The 20,692-nt window shown below is 47.1% G+C and overlaps 1 protein-coding gene and 1 non-coding gene across 8 annotated transcripts, besides 1 other annotated feature; both read left to right on the plus strand.

Moving 5' to 3' along the window:
- Nucleotides 11,405-12,099: an enhancer, noted in NCBI's record as "H3K27ac-H3K4me1 hESC enhancer chr1:150228359-150229053 (GRCh37/hg19 assembly coordinates)". NCBI's record gives its function as "activates a minimal SCP1, AML or CMV promoter by ChIP-STARR-seq in primed H9 embryonic stem cells {active_cell/tissue: H9 hESC(primed)}" and the evidence as "EXISTENCE:reporter gene assay evidence [ECO:0000049][PMID:30033119]".
- On the plus strand, nucleotides 13,215-20,519 carry CA14 (carbonic anhydrase 14). 7 transcript variants are annotated; one of them, XM_011509379.4, is made up of 11 exons: nucleotides 13,215-13,624; nucleotides 15,592-15,689; nucleotides 17,019-17,079; nucleotides 17,599-17,741; nucleotides 17,966-18,061; nucleotides 18,245-18,311; nucleotides 18,483-18,640; nucleotides 18,740-18,860; nucleotides 19,100-19,120; nucleotides 19,235-19,319; nucleotides 20,034-20,519. In XM_011509379.4, the coding sequence occupies exons 1-11, from the start codon at nucleotides 13,570-13,572 to the stop codon at nucleotides 20,098-20,100; spliced, it is 972 nt and encodes a 323-aa protein (XP_011507681.1). In that variant the 5' UTR covers nucleotides 13,215-13,569; the 3' UTR covers nucleotides 20,101-20,519. The 7 variants fall into 7 exon arrangements, with proteins under 7 accessions (XP_011507681.1, NP_036245.1, XP_005245116.1 ...); NM_012113.3 differs by having other exon boundaries at nucleotides 15,592-15,612; nucleotides 16,900-17,079; XM_005245059.4 differs by having other exon boundaries at nucleotides 15,592-15,612; nucleotides 16,900-17,079; nucleotides 19,103-19,120.
- SNORD13C (small nucleolar RNA, C/D box 13C) lies at nucleotides 17,135-17,238 on the plus strand. The gene has a single exon (NR_145745.1). It is a non-coding gene; the product is annotated as a small nucleolar RNA, C/D box 13C (small nucleolar RNA).

Consider the following 20,692-nt stretch of genomic DNA (forward strand, 5'->3'; position numbering starts at 1 on the left):
TAGATACTCAATCTTATGACTCCCATTGAGATACAAAAACTCCAGGATGACTAACAAGTAAACTTTTTTTTTTTTTTTTGTAGACAGGGTCTGGCTCTATCACCCAGGTTGGGGTGCAGTGGTGGGATCTCAGCTCACTGCAACCTATACATCCCAGGCTCAAGTTATCCTCCCACCTCAACTCCCCAAGTAGCAGTTATCCTCTCACCTCAATTCCCCAAGTATCTGGGACTACAGGCATGCCTGGTTAGTTTTGGGTTTTTTTGTTTTTGTTTTTTTGTATTTTTAGTAGAGACAGAGTTTCACCATGTCGCCCAGGCTGGTCTCGAACTCTTGAGCTCAAGTGATCCTCCCACCTTGGCCTCCCAAAGTGCTGAGATTACAGGCGTGAGCCACTGCAATCAGCCTAGTAAACTTGATTAATCTATTAAACCTTTGTTGAATATCTTTATCAAATAATTTTTAGAAAAGATTCTGATTGGCAGCATGAAAACTATAAAATGATCAAACTACCCTATATTTTCCAGGATTTTTCAAGTTTTTTCTTTAATTTGGGATCCTCTTCTCTGTAGAGATTGTCAGTAAATGGTGAAGAGAGAAGATTGCATATTGTTACGGTAAACTTCTTTTTTTTTTTTTTTTTTGAGACAGAGTCTCTCTCTGTCGCCCAGGCTGGAGTGCAGTGGCGCGATCCCGGCTCACTGCAAGCTCCGTCTCCCGGGTTCACGCCATTCTCCTGCCTCAGCCTCTTGAGTAGCTGGGATTACAAGCGCCCACCACCACGCCCGACTATTTTTTTGTATTTTTAGTAGAGATGGGGTGTCAACGTGTTAGCCAGGATGGTCTTGATCTCCTGACCTCGTGATCCGCCCGCCTCGGCCTCCCAAAGTGCTGGGATTACAGGCATGAGCCACTGCGCCCGGCCAGTAAACTCTTGATTACTGCCATGTGAATACAAAATTCTGCGGAATATCTGCAAAAATATAAAATTCTAGGTTGAGCTTTCCCAGTTTGAATCACCTCTCTACATGCTAAGGGAGTGAGTGTAAACAAGTTCTAACATTAGCCAAAGTCAAACAAAATTAGAAGAGTAAGTCTCCTAGAAACAAATCCATATTGCAATATCAAATAGATATGATTTAGAGATTTTGGCTGGGTGCGGTGGCTCACACCTGTAATCCCAGCACTTTGGGAGGCTGAGGCGGGTGGATCACGAGGTCAGGAGATCGAGACCATCCTTGTCAATATGGTAAAACCTGGTCTCTACTAAAAATACAAAAATTAGCTGGGCATGGTGTCACGTACCTGTAATCCCAGCTACTCAGGAGGCTGAGGCAGGAGAATTGCTTGAACCTGGGAGGTGGAGGTTGCAGTGAGCTGAGTTTGCCCACTGCATTCCAGCCTGGGCAACAAAGAGAGAGACTCCATCTCAAAAAATAAAAATCAAAAAAATTTACAAATTTATCTTACGGCAACTCTTTGTCATCTGTGCTACTGGATAAACACAGTAATTCTGTCACCCAGGCTGGAGAACAATGGCATGATATTGGCTTACTACAACCTCCGCCTGCTGGTTCAAGCAATTTTCCTGCCTCAGCCTCCTGAGTAGCTGGGACTACAGGAGTGCACCATCACGCCCAGCTAATTTTTGTATTTTGTTTTTGAGACAGAGTTTTGGTCTTGTTGCCCAGGCTAGAGTGCAATGGGGCAATCTTAGCTCACTGCAATCTCTGCCTCCCAGATTCAAGCGATTCTCCTGCCTCAGCCTCCCAAGTAGCTGGGATTACAGGCATGCACCAGCATGCTCGGCTAATTTTTGTATTTTCAGTAGAGACGGGGTTTCCTCATGTTGGCCAGGCTGGTCTCAAACTCCTGACCTCAAGTGATCCATCCCCCTCAGCCTCCCAAAATGTTGAGATTATAGGCATGAGCCACGGTGCCCGGCCAAATTTGTAATTTTGGTAACAAGGTTACCTTCAAAACATAACTTGAGGCTAGGTCCAGTGGCTGACACCTGTAATCACAGCACTTTGGAAGCCTGAGGCAGAGGATTGCTTGAGCCCAGAAGTTCTAAACCAGCCTGTGCAATATAGCAAGATCCTGTCTCTAATTAAAAAAAAAAAAAAAAAAAAAAAAAAAGGTAAGGGCGCGGTGGCTCACACCTGTAATCCCAGCATTTTGGGAGGTCGAGGCGGGTGGATCACCTGATGTCAGGAGTTCGAGACCAGCCTGGCCAACATGGTGAAACCCTGTCTCTACTAAAAAAATACAAAAATTAGCTGGGTGTGGTGGCAGGTGCCTATAATCCCAGCTACTCAGCAGGCTGAGGTAGGAGAATCGCTTGAACCTGGGAGGCGGAGATTGCAGTGAGCCAAGATCGTGCCATTGTACTGCAGCCTGGGCAACAAGAGCGAAACTCCATCTCAAATTAAAAAAAAAAAAAAAAAAAAGGACCAAGCATAGTGGCTCACACCTGTAATCTCAACACTTTGGAAGGCTGAGGAGGATTGCTTCAGGAGTTCAAGACCAGCCTGGGCAACATGGGGAGACCCTGTCTCTACAAAAAATAAAAAATTAGCTGGGCGTGGTGGTGCCCACCTGTGGTCCCAGCTACTCAGGAGGCTGGGGTGGGAGGATCGCTTGAGCCCAGGAGGTTGAGGCTAGAGTGAGCTGTCATTTTGCCACTGCAATCAATCAATAAAAACTGAAAACTTATGGTTAATATGGAGAATTTAATATCTATATTTACCTATATTTCCTCCCAAATCTTAATAAAATGACTTTGAAAGAATGAGATCTAAATACAAAGGACAAAGAGAATGAGCAAGAAGACAACTGAGGAGAGACCTCAACAAAATTTTGGAATCTGTAAAGCTGATGAACAATGTAGTTCAGATATGCTTCTTTACTTCTGAGGTTTCCTCTTTTTTTTTTTTTTTTTTGAGACAGAGTCTCGTTCTGTTGCCCAGGCTGGAGCACACTGGCGCGATCTCGGCTCACTGCAGCCTCCGCCTCCCAGGTTCAAGCGATTCTCCTGTCTCAGCCTCCTAAGTAGCTGGGACTACAAGCGCGCAGCACCATGCCCGGCTAATTTTTTGTATTTTTAGTAGATATGGGGTTTAACTGGCTGGGCGCGGTGTCTCACGCCTGTAATCCCAGCATTTTGGGAGGCTGAGGCAGGAGAATCGCTTGCACCGGGGAGGCAGAGGTTGCAGTGAGCCAAGATCGCGCCATTGCACTCCGGTCTGGGCAACAAGAGTGAAAATCAGTCTCAAAAAAAAAAAAAGAAGAAGAAGAAGAAAGAAAGAAATGGAGTTTAGCCGTGTTAGCCAGGATGGTCTCAATCTCCTGACCTCGTGATCTGCCTGCCTCAGCCTCCCAAAGTGCTGGGATTACAGGCTTGAGACAACGCGCCCGGCAGGTTTTCCTTCTTATGAAGAGACTTAATTCATGTAACTGTGCCTTTTTTAGCCCTTTGTTCATACACTCTTTTTCTTTTTCTTTTTCTTTTTCTTTTTTTTTGAGACGGAGTCTCGCTCTGTGGCCCAGGCTGGAGTGCAGTGGCACGATCTCGGCTCACTGCAAGCTCCGCCTCCTGGGTTCACGCCATTCTCCTGCCTCAGCCTCCTGAGTAGCTGGGACTACAGGCGCCCGCCACCATGCCCGGCTAATTTTTTGTATTTTTAGTAGAGACAGGGTTTCACCGTGTTAGCCAGGATGGTCTCGATCTCCTGGCCTCGTGATCCACCCGCCTCAGCCTCCCAAAGTGCTGGGATTACAGGCTTGAGCCACCGTGCCCAGCCTTTGTTCATCCACTCTTAATGGTCTGTTCCACTCAGTTCTATCCTGTTGCTCTTGGGAAGAGGAGCCCACCCATCAGAACACATTTTCTGCTTGTTTCCTCCATGCTGAGATCTGCCCCAATCCAAGCTGCCTGATCCTGGGATACAGTTAGCAGGCTCTTTTTTTTTTTTTTTTTTTTGAGACGAAGTTTCTCCTTTGTTGCCCAGGCTGGAGTGCAATGGCACGATCTTGGCTCACCACCTCTGCCTCCCGGGTTCAAGTGATTCTCCTACCTTGGCCTCCCGAGTAGCTGGGATTGCAGGCATGCATCACCACACCCAGCTAATTTTGTATTTTTAGTAAAGACGGGAGTTTCTCCATGTTGGTCAGGCTGGTCTTGAACTCCCGACCTCAGGTGATCAGCCTACCTCGGCCTCCCAAAGTGTTGGGATTACAGGCATGAGCCTCCGAGCCCAGCTTTTTTTTTTTTTTTTTTTTTTTAGACAGAGTTTCACTCTGTTGCCCAGGCTGGAGTGCAGTGGCACGATCTCTCAAGTAGCTGGGATTATAGGCGCCCACCACCACACTCAGCTAATTTTTTATTTTTAAATAGAGATGGGGTTTCTCCATGTTGGCCAGGCTGGTCTTGAACTTCTGACCTCAGGTGATCTGGCCTCCCAAAGTGCTGGGATTACAGGTGTGAGCTGCGCCTGGCCAGTTAGCAGGCTCATTGACTCCCATACTAACCCACATCCTCCAATCTGGTCTCAAACAGTAATAAAGGTGATATGTTGACCTCTGTATTTATTTTTTGCTTGATTTCTCAATGTGTTCAGGACCTTAGAACAAAGAAGGAATGCTTTTATTGGGATCCCCTTCAGAGGTCCCAGTAATTATCTTAGCAGGGCCGGGAACGGTGGCTCATGCCTGTAATCCCAGCACTTTGGGAGGCCGAGGCAGGCAAATTACCTGAGGTCAGGAGTTCGAGACCAACCTGGCCAACAGGGTGAAACACTGTCTCTACAAAAATACAAATATTAGCTGGGCCTGGTGACTCGCACCCGTAATCTCAGCTACTCATGAGGCTGAGGCACAAGAATTGCTTGAACGCGGGAGGTGGAGGTTGCAGTGAGCCAAGATTGTACCACTGCACTCCAGCCTGGGCAATGGAGGGATACTCTGTCTCAAAACCCTGCCCCACCCCCCCCCAAAAACCCAATATACATTATCATGAAATTATATATAACACCCAGGAGAAAGGAAAATTACTAAAAAGCTTCCAGAGAGAAGAGCCAGTTGAACTCAGAACTGGAGGTTAAAGGGTTCCAAGAGGAATATCTCTTTTAAAAATGTTATGACAGAATGAATATCTGACAGGTTGGAACATAATAAAATAAGAGTTAGATTTTCAACAGTGAATTTGGAGATGAATAAGCAACTAGAAAACTAAAACAAAAGAAAAAAATAAGGCCATTATTAATTTGAGGGAAATTAAAAGTTATACAAGAAAGGAAATATAATACACTTCTTGGCTAAGCTGTGAGTAAATACTGATGATAACTTAAATGTTAATTTAACTAATATTACGATATAATAGTTATTTCCAAGGGGCTGGGGGCAGGAGAAGTGTGTTTTAGGAAGGAAGTATTATGTAAAAGAAGTAACTCCTCATCTTTTGTGGTTGGAAGTTAATAGGTAATTCTGTGGCAGAGGGCAGGCCTATGCAAACCTGTTCCAAAAGTCCAAGGAAGCTGAGAGGCCAAAGAAAGAGGCTGACAAGTCCAGTTTCTTAGAAATAAACATTTAATAGAGACTTATGAACAGAGGCCGTGTGCATGTCTTGGGCAATGGTGAGATGAGATGGTGGTTTCCTGCTCCATTACCCCCAGACCTGGGGCTTCTATACTACAGGGAAAGGGTGATTCAGAAGGGATGTATAGATACGATAACATCAAGGTTGTTTGAGCTAAGGGCAGAATGTATGGTAATACCTGCTCTTACACCAGGAACAATAGGCAAACTTGAAATCTTAGAGGCCTTCCCAGAACTGGGGTTAATCAGAAGCCAACATGGTGGATTAGCTTTCACAAATACCTGAAACTCTAAAAAATCAAGACATAGCAGTATAAATATGTTTTTGGAAATTTGAGGTGAATACTAGGAGGAAGTTAGAAAGTTGCAGCAATTATCTCTGGGAAGTAAGAATTAGATGTGGGAAGAATAGAGTGTTTAATTATAACCTATGTTGATCTATTTGACTTTTTAAACTATGTACCTGTTCTACTTTGATAAAAATAAAAATTAAATTTAAAAATAGGCTGTGCGCAGTGGCTCACGCCTGTAATCCCAGCACTTTGGGAGGCCGAGGCGGGCAGATCACCTGAGGTCAGGAGTTTGAGACCACCTGGCCAACATGGCAAAACCCTGTCCCTACTGAAAATACAAAAATTAGTTGGGCTTGGTTAGGGGAGCCAGTAATCCCAGTTACTCGGGAGGCTGAAGCAGGAGAATCACTTGAACCCAGGAGGTGAAGGTTGCAGTGAGCTAGATCACGCCACTGCACTCCAGCCTGGGCAACAGAGCAAGACTCTGTCTCAAAAAATAATAACAATAATAATGTGAGTTAGTTAACCACTGACTTGTGGACCTTCCATAAACACAATGAAACATATTGAGTGGACCAGCAGTCTTTAAACTGATATCAACATTTTTTATTCTGTGGTGAAAGATAAGAATGTAGGTATATTGTTTGTTTGTTTAACTTTTTTGATTTGTTTTTGTTTGGTTCATTTTTTTGGTTTTAGAGACAGGGTCTTTCTTGCTCCATCACCCAGGTTAGGGTGTAGTGGTGTGATCATGGCTCACTACAGCCTCAAATTTCTTGGGCTCAAGCTATCCTCCCACCTCAGCCTCCTGAAGTGTTGAGGCTATAGGTGTGAGCCACTACACCTGGCTATATCTTGTTATATAGAAATTTAGCATGCCAAATTCAAACTTATTCAATGTACAATATCTGTTGACAGGACCTTGCTATACTCATCTGTCATGTTTCAATAGGTATATTTCTCTATTTATTAATACAGTTTAGATATTTTTGCCAGTGTTGTATTTGTGTTTCCATTTAATTTTAGCTCGATCAAGCCAATTGCTTCCACAAAACACCAAAAACAAAATCTAAGTAATCAGAGTTGAATGTAATTCTACTGAAATATAGTGAAATTTGATAGAAGCTGGGTGATTATTTGGTGCAATCTGATCTATTTAATTATGATTTTCTCCTGCTTAATTATTTGAGCTATTTCAACAAACAGTATTTTGCATTAGTATATATTATTTTAGTGTTATACTTTCTCATAAAATAATGAGTTTACTTTCAATATGTGTTTTTTAAGAGTTTGCTACACTCACTAATGTAGCCTTTACTTATCTTTAAGCCAAAATTTCCTCCAAATGAACATATCTCTCATTTTATTCTGAAAGTCCATGAAAGGATGATATTCACTGTACAGAAATTTAACCATGTTACAAGTGAATTTTATTTCTGTATGATAGCTAAAAGGTCACAAGGGAAAGAAAAATATTGAATTTTTGCCTAGTGTGAAACACCAATTGTAGAGTCCTTTGTTTATCTCCCCAAAGAAGAAAAGAGTAACAACTTGTATAAATACCATTGGAGGAGTATAACCTTTATGGAAGGCAATATGGTAACAAATATAGCAAAAACCCTTTAAAAAGTTGATATCCTAAATTAAAACCAAAATGAGATACCATTATACACTAGAAGAATAGCTACTTTTTTCTTTTTTTTTTTTTTTTTTGTAGACGGAGTCCTGCTCTTGTCGCCCAGGCTGGAGCACAATGGCATGATCTCGGCTCACTTCAACCTCTGCCTCCCAGGTTCAAGAGATTCTCCTGCCTCAGCCTCTAGAATAGCTGGGATTACAGGCACGAGCCACCACACCTGACTAATTTTTGTATTTTTAGTAAAGACGGGGTTTTGCCATGTTGGCCAGGCTGGTCTCGAACTCCTGACCTCATGATGCGCCCGCCTTGGCCTCCCGAAGTGCTGGGATTACAGGTGTGAGCCACCGTGCCCGGCTGTACCTTTTTTTTTTTTAAACGGACAATATCAAATGCTTGTAAAGATGAGGACAACTAGAACTCATACATTGCTGGTGGGAAAGAAAAACTGTATAAGCACTATGAAAAACAGTCTGGGGACCAGGTGCAATGGCTCACGCTGGTAATCCCAACACTTTGGAAGGCCTAGGCAAGAGAATCACTTGAACCTAGGAGATGAGACCAGCCTAGGCAACATGGCAAGACCCCATCTCTATTAAAAAAAATAAAATAGTCTGGGCGCGGTGGCTCACACCTGTAATCCCAGCACTTTGGGAGGCTGAGGCAGGTGGATCATGAGGTCAGGAGTTAGAGACCAGCCTCGCCAAGATGGTGAAACTCTGTCTCTACTAAAAATGCAAAAATTAGCCAGACATGGTGGCACGTGCCTGTAGTCCCAGCTACTTGGGAGGCTGAGGCAGGAGAATTGCTTGAACCTGGGAGGCAGAGGTTGCCAGTGAGCCATGATCATGCCACTGCACTCCAGCCTGGGAAACAGAGCAAGACTCCGTCTCAAAAAATAAATAAATAAATAAATAATAAAATAAAAGAGGCCAGGCATGGTGGCTCATACCTGTAATTCTAACACTTTGGGAGGCTGAGGCAGGAGAATTACTTGAGCCAGGAGTTCAAGACCAACCTAGGCAATATGGTGAAACCTTGTCTCTACAAAAAAATTAAAAAATTAGCTGGGAGTGGTGGCATGAACCTGTAGTCTCAGGTGCTTGGGAGCTGAGGTGGGAGGATCGCTTGAGCCCAGGAAGGGAAGGCTGCAGTGAGCCAAGATCACGCCACTGCACTCCAACCTGGACAACAGAGCCATGCCGTCTCAAAAGAAAAGAAAGTAAAAGAAAAACAGCCCGGCAGTTTTTTTACAAAGTTAAACATACGCTTCCCGTACAATCCAGCACTCAGTATCTATTTATTCCCACTCCTAGGTATTTACTCAAGAACAATAAAAACATATGTCTGCTCAAAGACCTGTACTCAAATACTTATAGTGCTTTTATTCATGGTGACTAGAAAGAAGTGGCTGCGGTGGCTCATGCTTATAATCTCAGCACTTTGGGAGGCCAAGCTGGGCAAATCACTCGAGCCCAGGAGTTCGAGACCAGCCTGGGAAACATGACAAAATTTTGTCTCTACAAAAACTAAGAAAATTTTTAAAACCTGCCAGTCATGGTGGCATGCGCATGTAGACCTAGCTACTCAGGAGGCTGAGAAGAGGATCATTTGAGTTTGAGGCTGAAGTGAGCTATGATTCTGCCACTGCACTCCAGCCTAGGGGACAGAGTGAGACCCTGCTTCCAAAAAAAAAGAGAGAGGCTGGGCGTGGTGGCTCACACCTGTAATCCCAGCACTTTGGGAGGCTGAGGCAGGCAGATCACCTGAGGTAGGGAGTTCAAGACTAGCCTGATCAACATGGAGAAACCCCGTCTCTACTAAAAATACCAAATTAGCCGGGCGTGGTGGCAAATGCCTGTAATCCCAGCTACTTGGGAGGCTGAGGCACGAGAATCACTTGAACCTGGGAGGCAGAGTTTACGGTGAGCCAAGATCATGCCATTGCACTGCAGCTTGGGCAACAGAGTGAGACTCTGTTTTTTTTTTTTTTTTGAGATGGAGTCTCGCTCTGTTGCCCGGGCTAGAGTGCAATGGCGCTATCTCGGCTCACTGCAAACTCCTCCTCCTGGGTTCAAGCGGTTCTCCTGCCTCAGCCTCCCGAGTAGCTGGGACTACAGGCGTGAGCCACCGCGCCCAGCTGAGACTGTACAAAAAAAAGAAGAGAGAGAGAGAGAGAGAAAGAGAAATGCTAATTTCTCTAATGCCAAATCTCTAATGTAGATTTGGACACACCCAGAACTATAGAATCGGGTACTATGGGGGTGAGGTCCAGAAATCTCTATTTATTTATTCTATTTTATCTTTGAGATAGAGTTTTGCTCTTGTCACCCAGGCTGGAGTGCGGTGGTGCAGTCTCGGCTCACCGCAACCTCTGCCTCCCAAGTTCAAGCGATTCTCCTGCCTTAGCCTCCCAAGTAGCTGGGATTACAGGCACCCGCTACCACACCTGGCTAATTTTTTTGTATTTTTGGTGGAGATGGGGTTTCGCCATATTAGCCAGGCTGGTCTCAAATTCCTGACCTCAGGTGATCTGCCCGCCTCGGCCTCTCAAAGTGCTGGGATTACAGACATGAGCCACTGCACCTGGCCAGAAATCTGTATTTTAATAAGCTTTCCAAGTTTAAAAAGCTTTCCAGGTGATTCTGATGCACATTGACATTTGAGAACCAATGGTGTAGGAGAAAGCTCACTGGTGCCTGTGTCCTTGTTCTGGTTTAGCCTAGCAGCTATATGACTAACCATGGCTAAATCCCTAAATCTCTCAAAACTCAGTTTTACAGGGTATAACAAGGGGTTTAGAATGATGCCTGAGGGCCCTTCTGCTCTAAAATTCTGTGAAAGACAGTAAATAAATGTTGCAATTACTAGATTCATTCAATCAACAGTTATGTACCAGGCAGCGTTCTGTTCATGGAATCAATGTATAACACAAAATTGCAACTGAAATAGTGTAACTTATCGCTTATAATTAAATGACTTGCAAATTTTCAGACCACAAACTTTTACCGGTCCTCAATTTACAAGATTCTCATACTACATTTGTTGTGTAATGTGAACTGGAAAACTAAGAAAATGATCCAAAGGGTCATTTTTTCCAAAATTACTTAATTCTTTTTTGTTTGTTTGTTTTTTCTTTTTTGTTTTTGTGACAGAGTCTCACTCTGTCACCCAGGCTGGAGTGCAGTGGAGCAATCTCAACTCACTGCAACCTCCCACTCCCGAGTTCAAGCAATTCTCCTGCCTCAGCCTCCTGCGTAGCTGGGATTACAGGCATGCACCACCACGCCTGGCTAATTTTTGTATTTTTAGTAGAGACGAGGTTTTGCTATGCTTTGGCCAGGCTGGTCTGGAACTCCTGGCCCACCTGCCTCGGCCTCCCAAAGTGCTGGCATTACAGGCGTGAGCCACCACGCCTCATCTCAGTCAAGTTTCAGTATATCTACAAGGACAGGAGATGGCGCCAGAAGGCAGTGAGATGCTTGGTTTTGGTTTTAACGGTTTTAGCCAATGCAAGCAAGGAAAGGGCTTGAGAGAGAGGTCAGAACTAAAACAAAGGTGCCAGAGTTTGAGTGGAAACTAAGACTGAGTGGGGAGAGGGAGCTGTGTCAGTTTTTTTTTTTTTAACTTACATATAAGGGTCCCCTTGACACCTACTCCAAATCAGCACAGCTAGAAAGCAACAAAAGAAATATCCACAGTAAAGCCAAAGATCAAGATAAAGTCAAGTGCCTGGAGGACGGCGCTCGCCTTCTGGCTCCCTCTGTCCTAGAAAGGAGGGCCTTTGTCGTCTGGGAAGCATAAGCACCTGGATGCGTTGCTCACCCAAGATCAGGGAAGTGTTGATTCCAGGCTAAGATATCTTTGTGAAACAATGTTCAGTTGCGTAGGCAAAATCCCAAAGCCCAGCAGCAGTGAAATACCTCCCAGAAGGAACCACATACACAAAGCATTTTAAATTAAAATTTAAAAATTCATAGACGAGCCAGGAGGTGGCGCCTGGCAAGACACGCTATCTGCCTTGGAAATCGGAATCTCAGCTCAGCGCTCCAGGGGAACTCTGTTCCGGCAGAGGTCATTCTGTTCAGACCTCTTCTTTCCTACTAAATCTCTTCTTTCATACCAAGATGTCTCTGCTTTCTTTTTTTGTTTCTTTGTGTTAAGTACCCTGATTCCCGGGAAATCTAATTTATACTTCAAGTCTTTTACTCTTCTTAGATGGGATGGATGGGGCTTTGGGGAACCTCAAAACATAAAACTTTCCTGAAGGGGACAAATAACTCAGAGGGTGATAGGAGAAGAAAAAGGGAAATGACATCAGCAAAATGGCTTGGCTTTGCAGATCAATCACAGGGGATAGAAAGGCACAGTGAGCTCCTGTCTCTGCAGGAGCTGATGATCCAGCACATGCATTATTCTGTTCATTTGGCTTTTATCCTGCTCCCTTATTTAGCTTCTGCTCCCTTTGTTTGGCTATTTATTGCTACTCGGCAGGAGCAAGGAGGGCAGAGGGAGCTTCAGATGGGTGCATCCTCCTGGCTGGTGCCTCTGGTGAAGAGCATGGAGGAGAAAGAGGTTTCAATGTCTGGCTTGAAAGTATCTGTGGGTTTCACATTCTCTAACGAGGGATTTAGGATGTACATTCCAATCGGGATTTCCAGTCCCGTGGGGAGCAAACATCAGTTCACATTCCTGAGACGTGCAGCCTCCATGCTCCACGGACGCAGCTCCTTGGTGGCAGGTTTCATTCAGTGCCACATGTCCTGCCTCAGCCCTTTGTTGGGCTGGAAGGAAGACCCTGAGCCCCTCTTCCATCTGGATCACATGGTCTCTCCAGACCCTCCCCTCTCTTTCTCTGGAAACCACCTTTTTCTGATGGTGGTAGTGATTGTTCCTAAAGTCTCTCCTTTCCTCCTGCCCTGGCCTCTCTGCCGGAGGTCAGTGTCCTCTTCAGTGACAAAAGCCGCCCTAGATCTGGGCTCCCTGGAGAGGGAGGTGGCTGGGTCTGGCAGTTACAGCCGCTGTCTCTCCATGGTGCTGCTACACCCCTCCCCCACTGGGCATACAAATGGGCTTTATCCAGCAAACAACGCTCCCTCCCCGCACTCCCCCCACCCCAGGCCACACAGGCACGTGGACCCAGGCCTCACCGTGGGAAGGGGGTGGTGGCAGGCACAGAAGAGATTGCTCCAGATGAGTTCTCCTTGCCTCACTTCTCTTCCTTAGAACTTAGGACACAACTCAGGTTTTAGTTATTGACTTCCTCCACCCCTCCCCTGCACCCTGAGTCCCTAATTCCTTCTTGTTATATATCTCCTAATTCTGGACTCTTCCCATTCCAGGGCAGCTCAGATTATGCAGGGAATTGGGAACAGGTACCCCCACCATCTGCCGCATACCACCCAGGGAGCTGCTCCTCAGAGGAGAAATCAGGCGGGGGGATGAAAATACAGTGTCCTTTTGAGGGGGCTGAGTTGAACCCCAAAGCCCCTTCCTTGACCCTGCCTGCTCCAGGGAACACCCATCTAAACAGCATCTGTGTGACTAGCAGAGGAAGGAAGAGCTCACCCCAGCTGGGCTCCTGAGCCAGGGCCAGGGCTCCAGTGAAACTTGCCGCGCTCCAGCTCCGAGTGGGGCCATCCTGCATGCCTAATTGGCTATTTAAGGAGCTGTTCACCAGCAGCCCAGGCAGCACCCCCGTCCCCACATACACCAGTTCAGAGCCACCTTAAAAGCAGGAGGCAGTTGTAAAGTCGCTGGCCAGCTAGTGGAGTGGAGACTGCAGAGGGAGATAAAGAGAGAGGGCAAAGAGGCAGCAAGAGATTTGTCCTGGGGATCCAGAAACCCATGATACCCTACTGAACACCGAATCCCCTGGAAGCCCACAGAGACAGAGACAGCAAGAGAAGCAGAGATAAATACACTCACGCCAGGAGCTCGCTCGCTCTCTCTCTCTCTCTCTCACTCCTCCCTCCCTCTCTCTCTGCCTGTCCTAGTCCTCTAGTCCTCAAATTCCCAGTCCCCTGCACCCCTTCCTGGGACACTATGTTGTTCTCCGCCCTCCTGCTGGAGGTGATTTGGATCCTGGCTGCAGATGGGGGTAGGTACAACTAAATGTCTGTGTGTGGATTTGTGCTGATGTTCACATGTCGCCAGGTGTGCTTAATGGGGGGAGGAGAGGTGTGAAAGGAAGCCTAGAGGCTGGAATAATAGGCTCAGAGATGAGGAAAAAAGAGTGGGGTGTGGAGGAGACCACTTCCCTTCTTTACCTTTTGTCTCTCCAGCCTTGTTGTTATTGGAGGTCGGGGAGAACTAGCGGCAGGCAGGCAGAGTGTGTACACATGCAAGTGCTGGAATCTCTTTGCAGGCTACAGATTTTCTCCAGAGCTCTTTCCCCCACTGCCCTGGTCCCAGGCAGGACTCCTGGACTTCTTTATTTACAAACTCCTCCAAATAGGGAGTCAAAGAGGCCTGGAGTAAAAAGATGGATAGATGGGGGTAGGGGGAAGAATACTTCCTGCCCAACTCAGACCCTGATCTCCAATTCATCCCCTTTTGGCCAAGATTCCCTCTTCATTCTGTGGAGCGACTAACTCCCCAGTTATCCTCTGAAAGTGGCAGTAAGAGTCAACATTTGTTTGACATTTTACAGTTTACAAAGGACTTTCAGGAGCTCCCAGGAGATGAGGAGGGATTCTTGGGAGAACAGGCTGAAGCGCTCCAGGAGTGTCCCCAGGAACTCCTAGACCTCATTTTTGTGTTTCCTGTGCCTAGCACAGTGTCCAGCACATACTAGGTGTGTAACTGAGGTTTGTGGAAAGAGCAGGGTGAGGTGGGTGTCCAGAGAGCAGAAGGCAAATGCAGAGAGGATGGGGGCAGGCAGGCAGCCAAATGGAGAGTCACAAATCTCATCTGAGGAGAAAGAAAAAAAGAGGGAAAGAGGAGGAAGAGACAGAATAAGTGTGTTGAGGCTCTGACCAGAGTGGACAGGCACCTTTACAGACCAGGGAGTTTGAGTTGTTGGGGGGTCCCACAGATATGGTAAAATGAGAGGCTGCCTCCAGCTCTCCCTTGGGCTAGCAGAATAGGTCAAGGATAAGAGCAGGACATCTCACAAGTTTGAGGAATTTAAGGGAATAAGAGACAGAGAGAGGAAGGAATTTAGGATTTTTCTCCAGAGTTTCTAGTAGTATGAATATTGCAGCATAAACCATGAAGGCCTTCGTTTTCTTCTTGAGGCAGTTTGGCCGTAGGGAGGGGCTGGACCTGCAGACCCTCAGCCTTTGCGTCAGACAGGACTGCACGAGAGCCTGGCATGTGACCCAGCTGGCAGCTCTCTTCTCTACACACAATGCTTCACTTTCATCCTGTCCCTGCCAGCCTGGCTGCCTGTGCCCACCCACCACCCTCAATCTAGAGTAGACCCTGCCCTGACTCCCACCCTTCCCTAACCATCTCAGAATGTAGGGAGCAGAGCCTCCTGGTGATGAGGAGTTTCCTCTAGAGCTAATGGGACCAGAAAAGAAGAATTTACATATGAGTTTACAGCTCAGTGGCTTTATTCATGCAATTTTTTAAAGCAAAGGAATAATCTCCCCTTCTCCCCTCAGTAGCACCCCCCAACACACACACACTCTAAACTCCTTTCTCCTCCCCGCTTTCTAGTCCCTATCCTTCCAACCCTCTGCCCACACCCTCACCCCACCCACCCCAATCTTCTAAGTGTTAGATTGACTTGGCACAGGTTACAGAAAAGAAAGGGTTGGGCCAATCGCACATTTGGATCCAGGTTAATTTTAGTCTCTGGGCTTTACCTCTTTTCCTTCCTCCTCCCCTTTTACTCGGCAGGCACCAACACAGCCTGGCTGGTGATTTTAAATAGGCCCCCCGACCTTTCCACAGAGGTGTCCGGTTTCAGGGCTTCCTTTGCAAAGTGCTGGAGCAGAGGGAGGAGAGACTGCAGAGAGGGAGGTGGAGCAGTACAGAATGCCAGAGGGAGGGGAGTGTGGAGGCCAGGGTTCTGCCCCAGGCTGCGCTGGCTGTAACCCAAACTATTCTGCCTTGCAGGTCAACACTGGACGTATGAGGGTGAGCAGATCTCAAGGCCTCCCGACAACCCTTTCACACTGGGACCTCCTCACCTGGCAGGAAGACACACTGTGCGGGTGGGAGGAGACTTCCTTTACCTTCTCACCCTAGCTCCTCCCTTCTGGATCTCCTCCTGCCTTGAGTTTCACATATATGGCTCCTAGATCCTGCTCTAATCATCAAATCCTACACCTCCTGATTTGGCAGAAAAGCTAGTTAAGTCCTCAGTAAATCGTGTAGGAGTGAGGGAGCTGGGGTGGAAAGGAAGCTGGGTGGGAACTCTGAGCTTAGCTGCCAGGTCTCCTTCTGGCTCCGTCTATCCTAATCCATCCTACCCCTAACCTGCATCTGAAATTGGGACAGAGCTGGAGGTCAGGGGTGAGGAAGAGGCTGGCAGGATAGTTTCTGACCCTGGGGGAGGTGGAACTCAGTTCCTATGAACTACTGATTAATGACTTAACCAAACTCAAGTTCATGATAAACGGTCAGTGTGAGAGCAAGAAGTGAATGATGAGAAGTCAGGATATCTGAATCCCAAGGCCACTTGATAGGGGCCTCCAGGAGACCGTATCTCTCTAGGTTATTTTTTTTTTTTTTTTTTTTTTTGACACAGAGTCTTGCTCTGTCACCCAGGCTGGAGTGCAGTGGCGCAATCTGGGCTCACTGCAAACTCCACCTCCTGGGTTTAAGTGATTCTCCTGCCTCAGCTTCTCGAGTAGCTGGGATTACAGGTGCCCACCACCACGTCTGGCTAATTTTTGCATTTTTAGTAGAGATGGGGTTTCACCATGTTGGCCAGGCTGGTCTCGAACTCCTGACCTCAAGCGATCCACCTGCCTCGGCCTCCCAAAGTGCTGGGATTACAGGCATGAGCCACTGTGCCTGGCCTATCTAGGATCATTTTATTTCTCCCATTTTTCTACTCCTACTCTCTAATCCCATCTCTCAGGGTATTCAGGTTTTCTATGCATCCCCTCTGCCCTCATTCAGCTTTCTTGTCCTCAAAATACAGGTAAGTAAAAGAGCTACCACTCCCCATTCATCAGGATAGTTGGGGAATCATCACTGCCTCTGGGTAGGGAAGGGGAACTGCAGCATGAGACTCAACAGGACTCCTACCTCACCCATCCCTATACAACTGGGGTCTTAACCTGGGTGGAGGGAAGTCCATTTCTACCTCCACACAGATGTATGGCTTGGTTAGGGGAAGGGTCAAAGGGAGGGGGTGCTGTTGAAGGGTAGCTAGAGCTGGAGGACAGGACCAATGTCTTTGGTAACCCCCACCAGGCCCACATGGTCAGGACCATTGGCCAGCCTCTTACCCTGAGTGTGGAAACAATGCCCAGTCGCCCATCGATATTCAGACAGACAGTGTGACATTTGACCCTGATTTGCCTGCTCTGCAGCCCCACGGATATGACCAGCCTGGCACCGAGCCTTTGGACCTGCACAACAATGGCCACACAGGTAAAAGCACAGGCTCCAAGGAGTTGTAGGCTCCAGCTCAGATCTTAGGAGTCAGATCCTTTTGTAGTTCATGGGCATGATGATGGGGTGTTCCTGAGCATGCGTAAGATGTGCCGCCCTCAAATCTTGTCAAGATGTTGGCACATTACCCATCTGACATAAATAAACAAACAAATAACCTCAGGAGTCAGAGGAAAGCAGCATTTTCCTAACCTACGAATTCTCAAAAACCTTTGTCCATGAATTTGGAGATATGAGAATGGGGATCAGGATCCTGTAGCCAAAGCGGGAATCGAAATGTTTATAACCAAGCTCAGTAGGTAGGTATCATTGCACTGACTTGGTCTTCACCAAGAAAAAGGAAGATATGCTAGAAAAGCACTGGCCTATGGGAGGAACTGGGTGCTACTGGGGGAGAAAACTGGAAGAGGGCCAAGTCTCCCAAGAAGTGGTGGCAACCCAGGAGTGGGAATGTATCCACATGCCTCCACCAATCCGAGTTTGCTCTTTTCCTCACAGTGCAACTCTCTCTGCCCTCTACCCTGTATCTGGGTGGACTTCCCCGAAAATATGTAGCTGCCCAGCTCCACCTGCACTGGGGTCAGAAAGGATCCCCAGGGGGGTCAGAACACCAGATCAACAGTGAAGCCACATTTGCAGAGGTACCAGGGAACAAAGAGCTGGGACTCAGACAAAGTAACAGGGATGGGTGGTCCTGGGGAAAGGATCTGGACCTTAGGAAAAGTCATGCTGGGGGGATAAGGCCAATCTCTGAGGGACAGACTTAGTGCCTGCCGGGGACAGCGGGGGGATGGTGGCAGCTAGGATCAAGGCCTTGAAGGGGGTGCAGACATTCCATGATTCAATTCCCTCTTCCTTCCTTTAGCTCCACATTGTACATTATGACTCTGATTCCTATGACAGCTTGAGTGAGGCTGCTGAGAGGCCTCAGGGCCTGGCTGTCCTGGGCATCCTAATTGAGGTCAGTAGCCCCCAGTCCCTTCCAGGTTTCTCTCCACTTCCTCTGCAACCCTCAAACCTATTTCTGTTGCTGGCCTCCTTCCTATGGCAGGCAGCAGCCCACCCTGACCATTTATTCTGTACATAAATTTCTTATTCCAAACATGGACTCATTCCAAACTCTCTCCCTTTCCTTCTCTTCCAGGTGGGTGAGACTAAGAATATAGCTTATGAACACATTCTGAGTCACTTGCATGAAGTCAGGCATAAAGGTGAGCCTTAAAAATCTATAGCAGGAAGTAAGATTAGACTTTCAAAAACTATCCTTAAAAGCCTTGGGATGAAGCAATTACATAGAGCCAAGGAATTTTGCTTCTGGGAGCCCTATCTAGGTAAGCTAGGGCACACTGAAAGGAAGATGAGTCCCAGTCTGTTCTCCCCAGATCAGAAGACCTCAGTGCCTCCCTTCAACCTAAGAGAGCTGCTCCCCAAACAGCTGGGGCAGTACTTCCGCTACAATGGCTCGCTCACAACTCCCCCTTGCTACCAGAGTGTGCTCTGGACAGTTTTTTATAGAAGGTCCCAGATTTCAATGGAACAGGTAAGTGGTGGAGAAACGAGGTGAGGTGAGACACAGTTGTAACTTCAGACCCCTTCCCACTCCCCAAAGTAACACCTCTCCCACGCTTCTGCTCCTCAGCTGGAAAAGCTTCAGGGGACATTGTTCTCCACAGAAGAGGAGCCCTCTAAGCTTCTGGTACAGAACTACCGAGCCCTTCAGCCTCTCAATCAGCGCATGGTCTTTGCTTCTTTCATCCAAGGTGATTCTGCACGGCTCAGAAGAGATGGGAAACTGAGGGGGACACAATGGCAGGAACTAGGGAGCCAATGGGAAGAAAAGGCTAAAAGGGGAGGGGGTTTCTGGGACTTGCTTGGACTGGGAACCAACCCCCACCCCAGGGTGCCCCCGGGGGATTCTCCCAGGCACAGCAGCAGAGAGTGCTGCTCCCAGCTGGGATGGGGATCTGAAGTCCCACTGACCCATTTTCTTCTCTTACAGCAGGATCCTCGTATACCACAGGTAAGCCAGCCTTATAAGATAATGCGGGGAGGGGAGGTGTCCTCACCGAGTGGGGGAAAGGCTCAAAATCTATGTTAGTCCTAGGCTGACACCTTTTACCTTTATCTCCCCCAGGTGAAATGCTGAGTCTAGGTGTAGGAATCTTGGTTGGCTGTCTCTGCCTTCTCCTGGCTGTTTATTTCATTGCTAGAAAGATTCGGTGAGGCCCTACTTTCCATTCCTCCAGTCCCTTCTTCTTTTTTTTTTTTTTTTTGGTAGGTGGGAGACGGAGTCTTGCTCTGTTACTCAGTCTGGAGTGCAGTGGTGTGCAATCTCAGCTCACTGCAACCTCTGCCTTCTGGGTTCAAGCAATTCTCCTGCCTCAGCCTCCCGAGTAGCTGGGACTACAGGCACGCACCATCACACCCAGCTAATTTTTGTACTTTTAGTAGAGACAAGGTTTCACCATATTGGCCAGGCTGGTCTCAAACTCCTGACCTCAGGCAATTCGCCTGCCTCAGCCTCCCAAAGTACTGGGATTATAGGCATGAGCCACCCGCTTTTTGAGACAGGTTCTCACTGTTGTCGAGGCTGGAGTGCATGGCTTTATCACAGCTCACTGCAACCTCCACCTCCCGGGCTCAAGTGGTCCTCCCACCTCAGCCTCCTGAGTAGGTGGGACTACAGGCATGTGCCACCATGCCCAGATAATTTTTGTATTTTTAGCAGAGACGGGTTTTCACTACATTGCCCAGGCTGGTCTCCAACTCCTGACCTCAAGTGATCCGCCCGCCTCAGCCTCCCAAAGTGCTGGGATTATAGGTGTGAAACACCTTGCCCAGCCCTCTTTTCTGTTAAAAAGCATTCTCCTATTTCACCTCTAATCTGCTTCACTTAGATAGCAGTCATTCTCATGAGCCATTCCCCTTTCCAGGAAGAAGAGGCTGGAAAACCGAAAGAGTGTGGTCTTCACCTCAGCACAAGCCACGACTGAGGCATAAATTCCTTCTCAGATACCATGGATGTGGATGACTTCCCTTCATGCCTATCAGGAAGCCTCTAAAATGGGGTGTAGGATCTGGCCAGAAACACTGTAGGAGTAGTAAGCAGATGTCCTCCTTCCCCTGGACATCTCCTAGAGAGGAATGGACCCAGGCTGTCATTCCAGGAAGAACTGCAGAGCCTTCAGCCTCTCCAAACATGTAGGAGGAAATGAGGAAATCGCTGTGTTGTTAATGCAGAGAACAAACTCTGTTTAGTTGCAGGGGAAGTTTGGGATATACCCCAAAGTCCTCTACCCCCTCACTTTTATGGCCCTTTCCCTAGATATACTGCGGGATCTCTCCTTAGGATAAAGAGTTGCTGTTGAAGTTGTATATTTTTGATCAATATATTTGGAAATTAAAGTTTCTGACTTTAATTCTGGCCTATCCTTTGAGGCTCTTGAGGGTGGGCAAGTTCCTGAATCCCTCAGGTGGTAAAGATGGGCAAAGGATGGGGAAAAGAAGCATGGGTGATTAACTCCTTTTATCCCACCCCTGGAAGGAAAGATAAGCTTCTGGGAAGACACTTAACCCAAAGTTTCAGACATGT

Source organism: Homo sapiens, chromosome 1 (genome assembly GCF_000001405.40).
Source record: "Homo sapiens chromosome 1, GRCh38.p14 Primary Assembly".
NCBI lineage: Eukaryota > Metazoa > Chordata > Mammalia > Primates > Hominidae > Homo > Homo sapiens.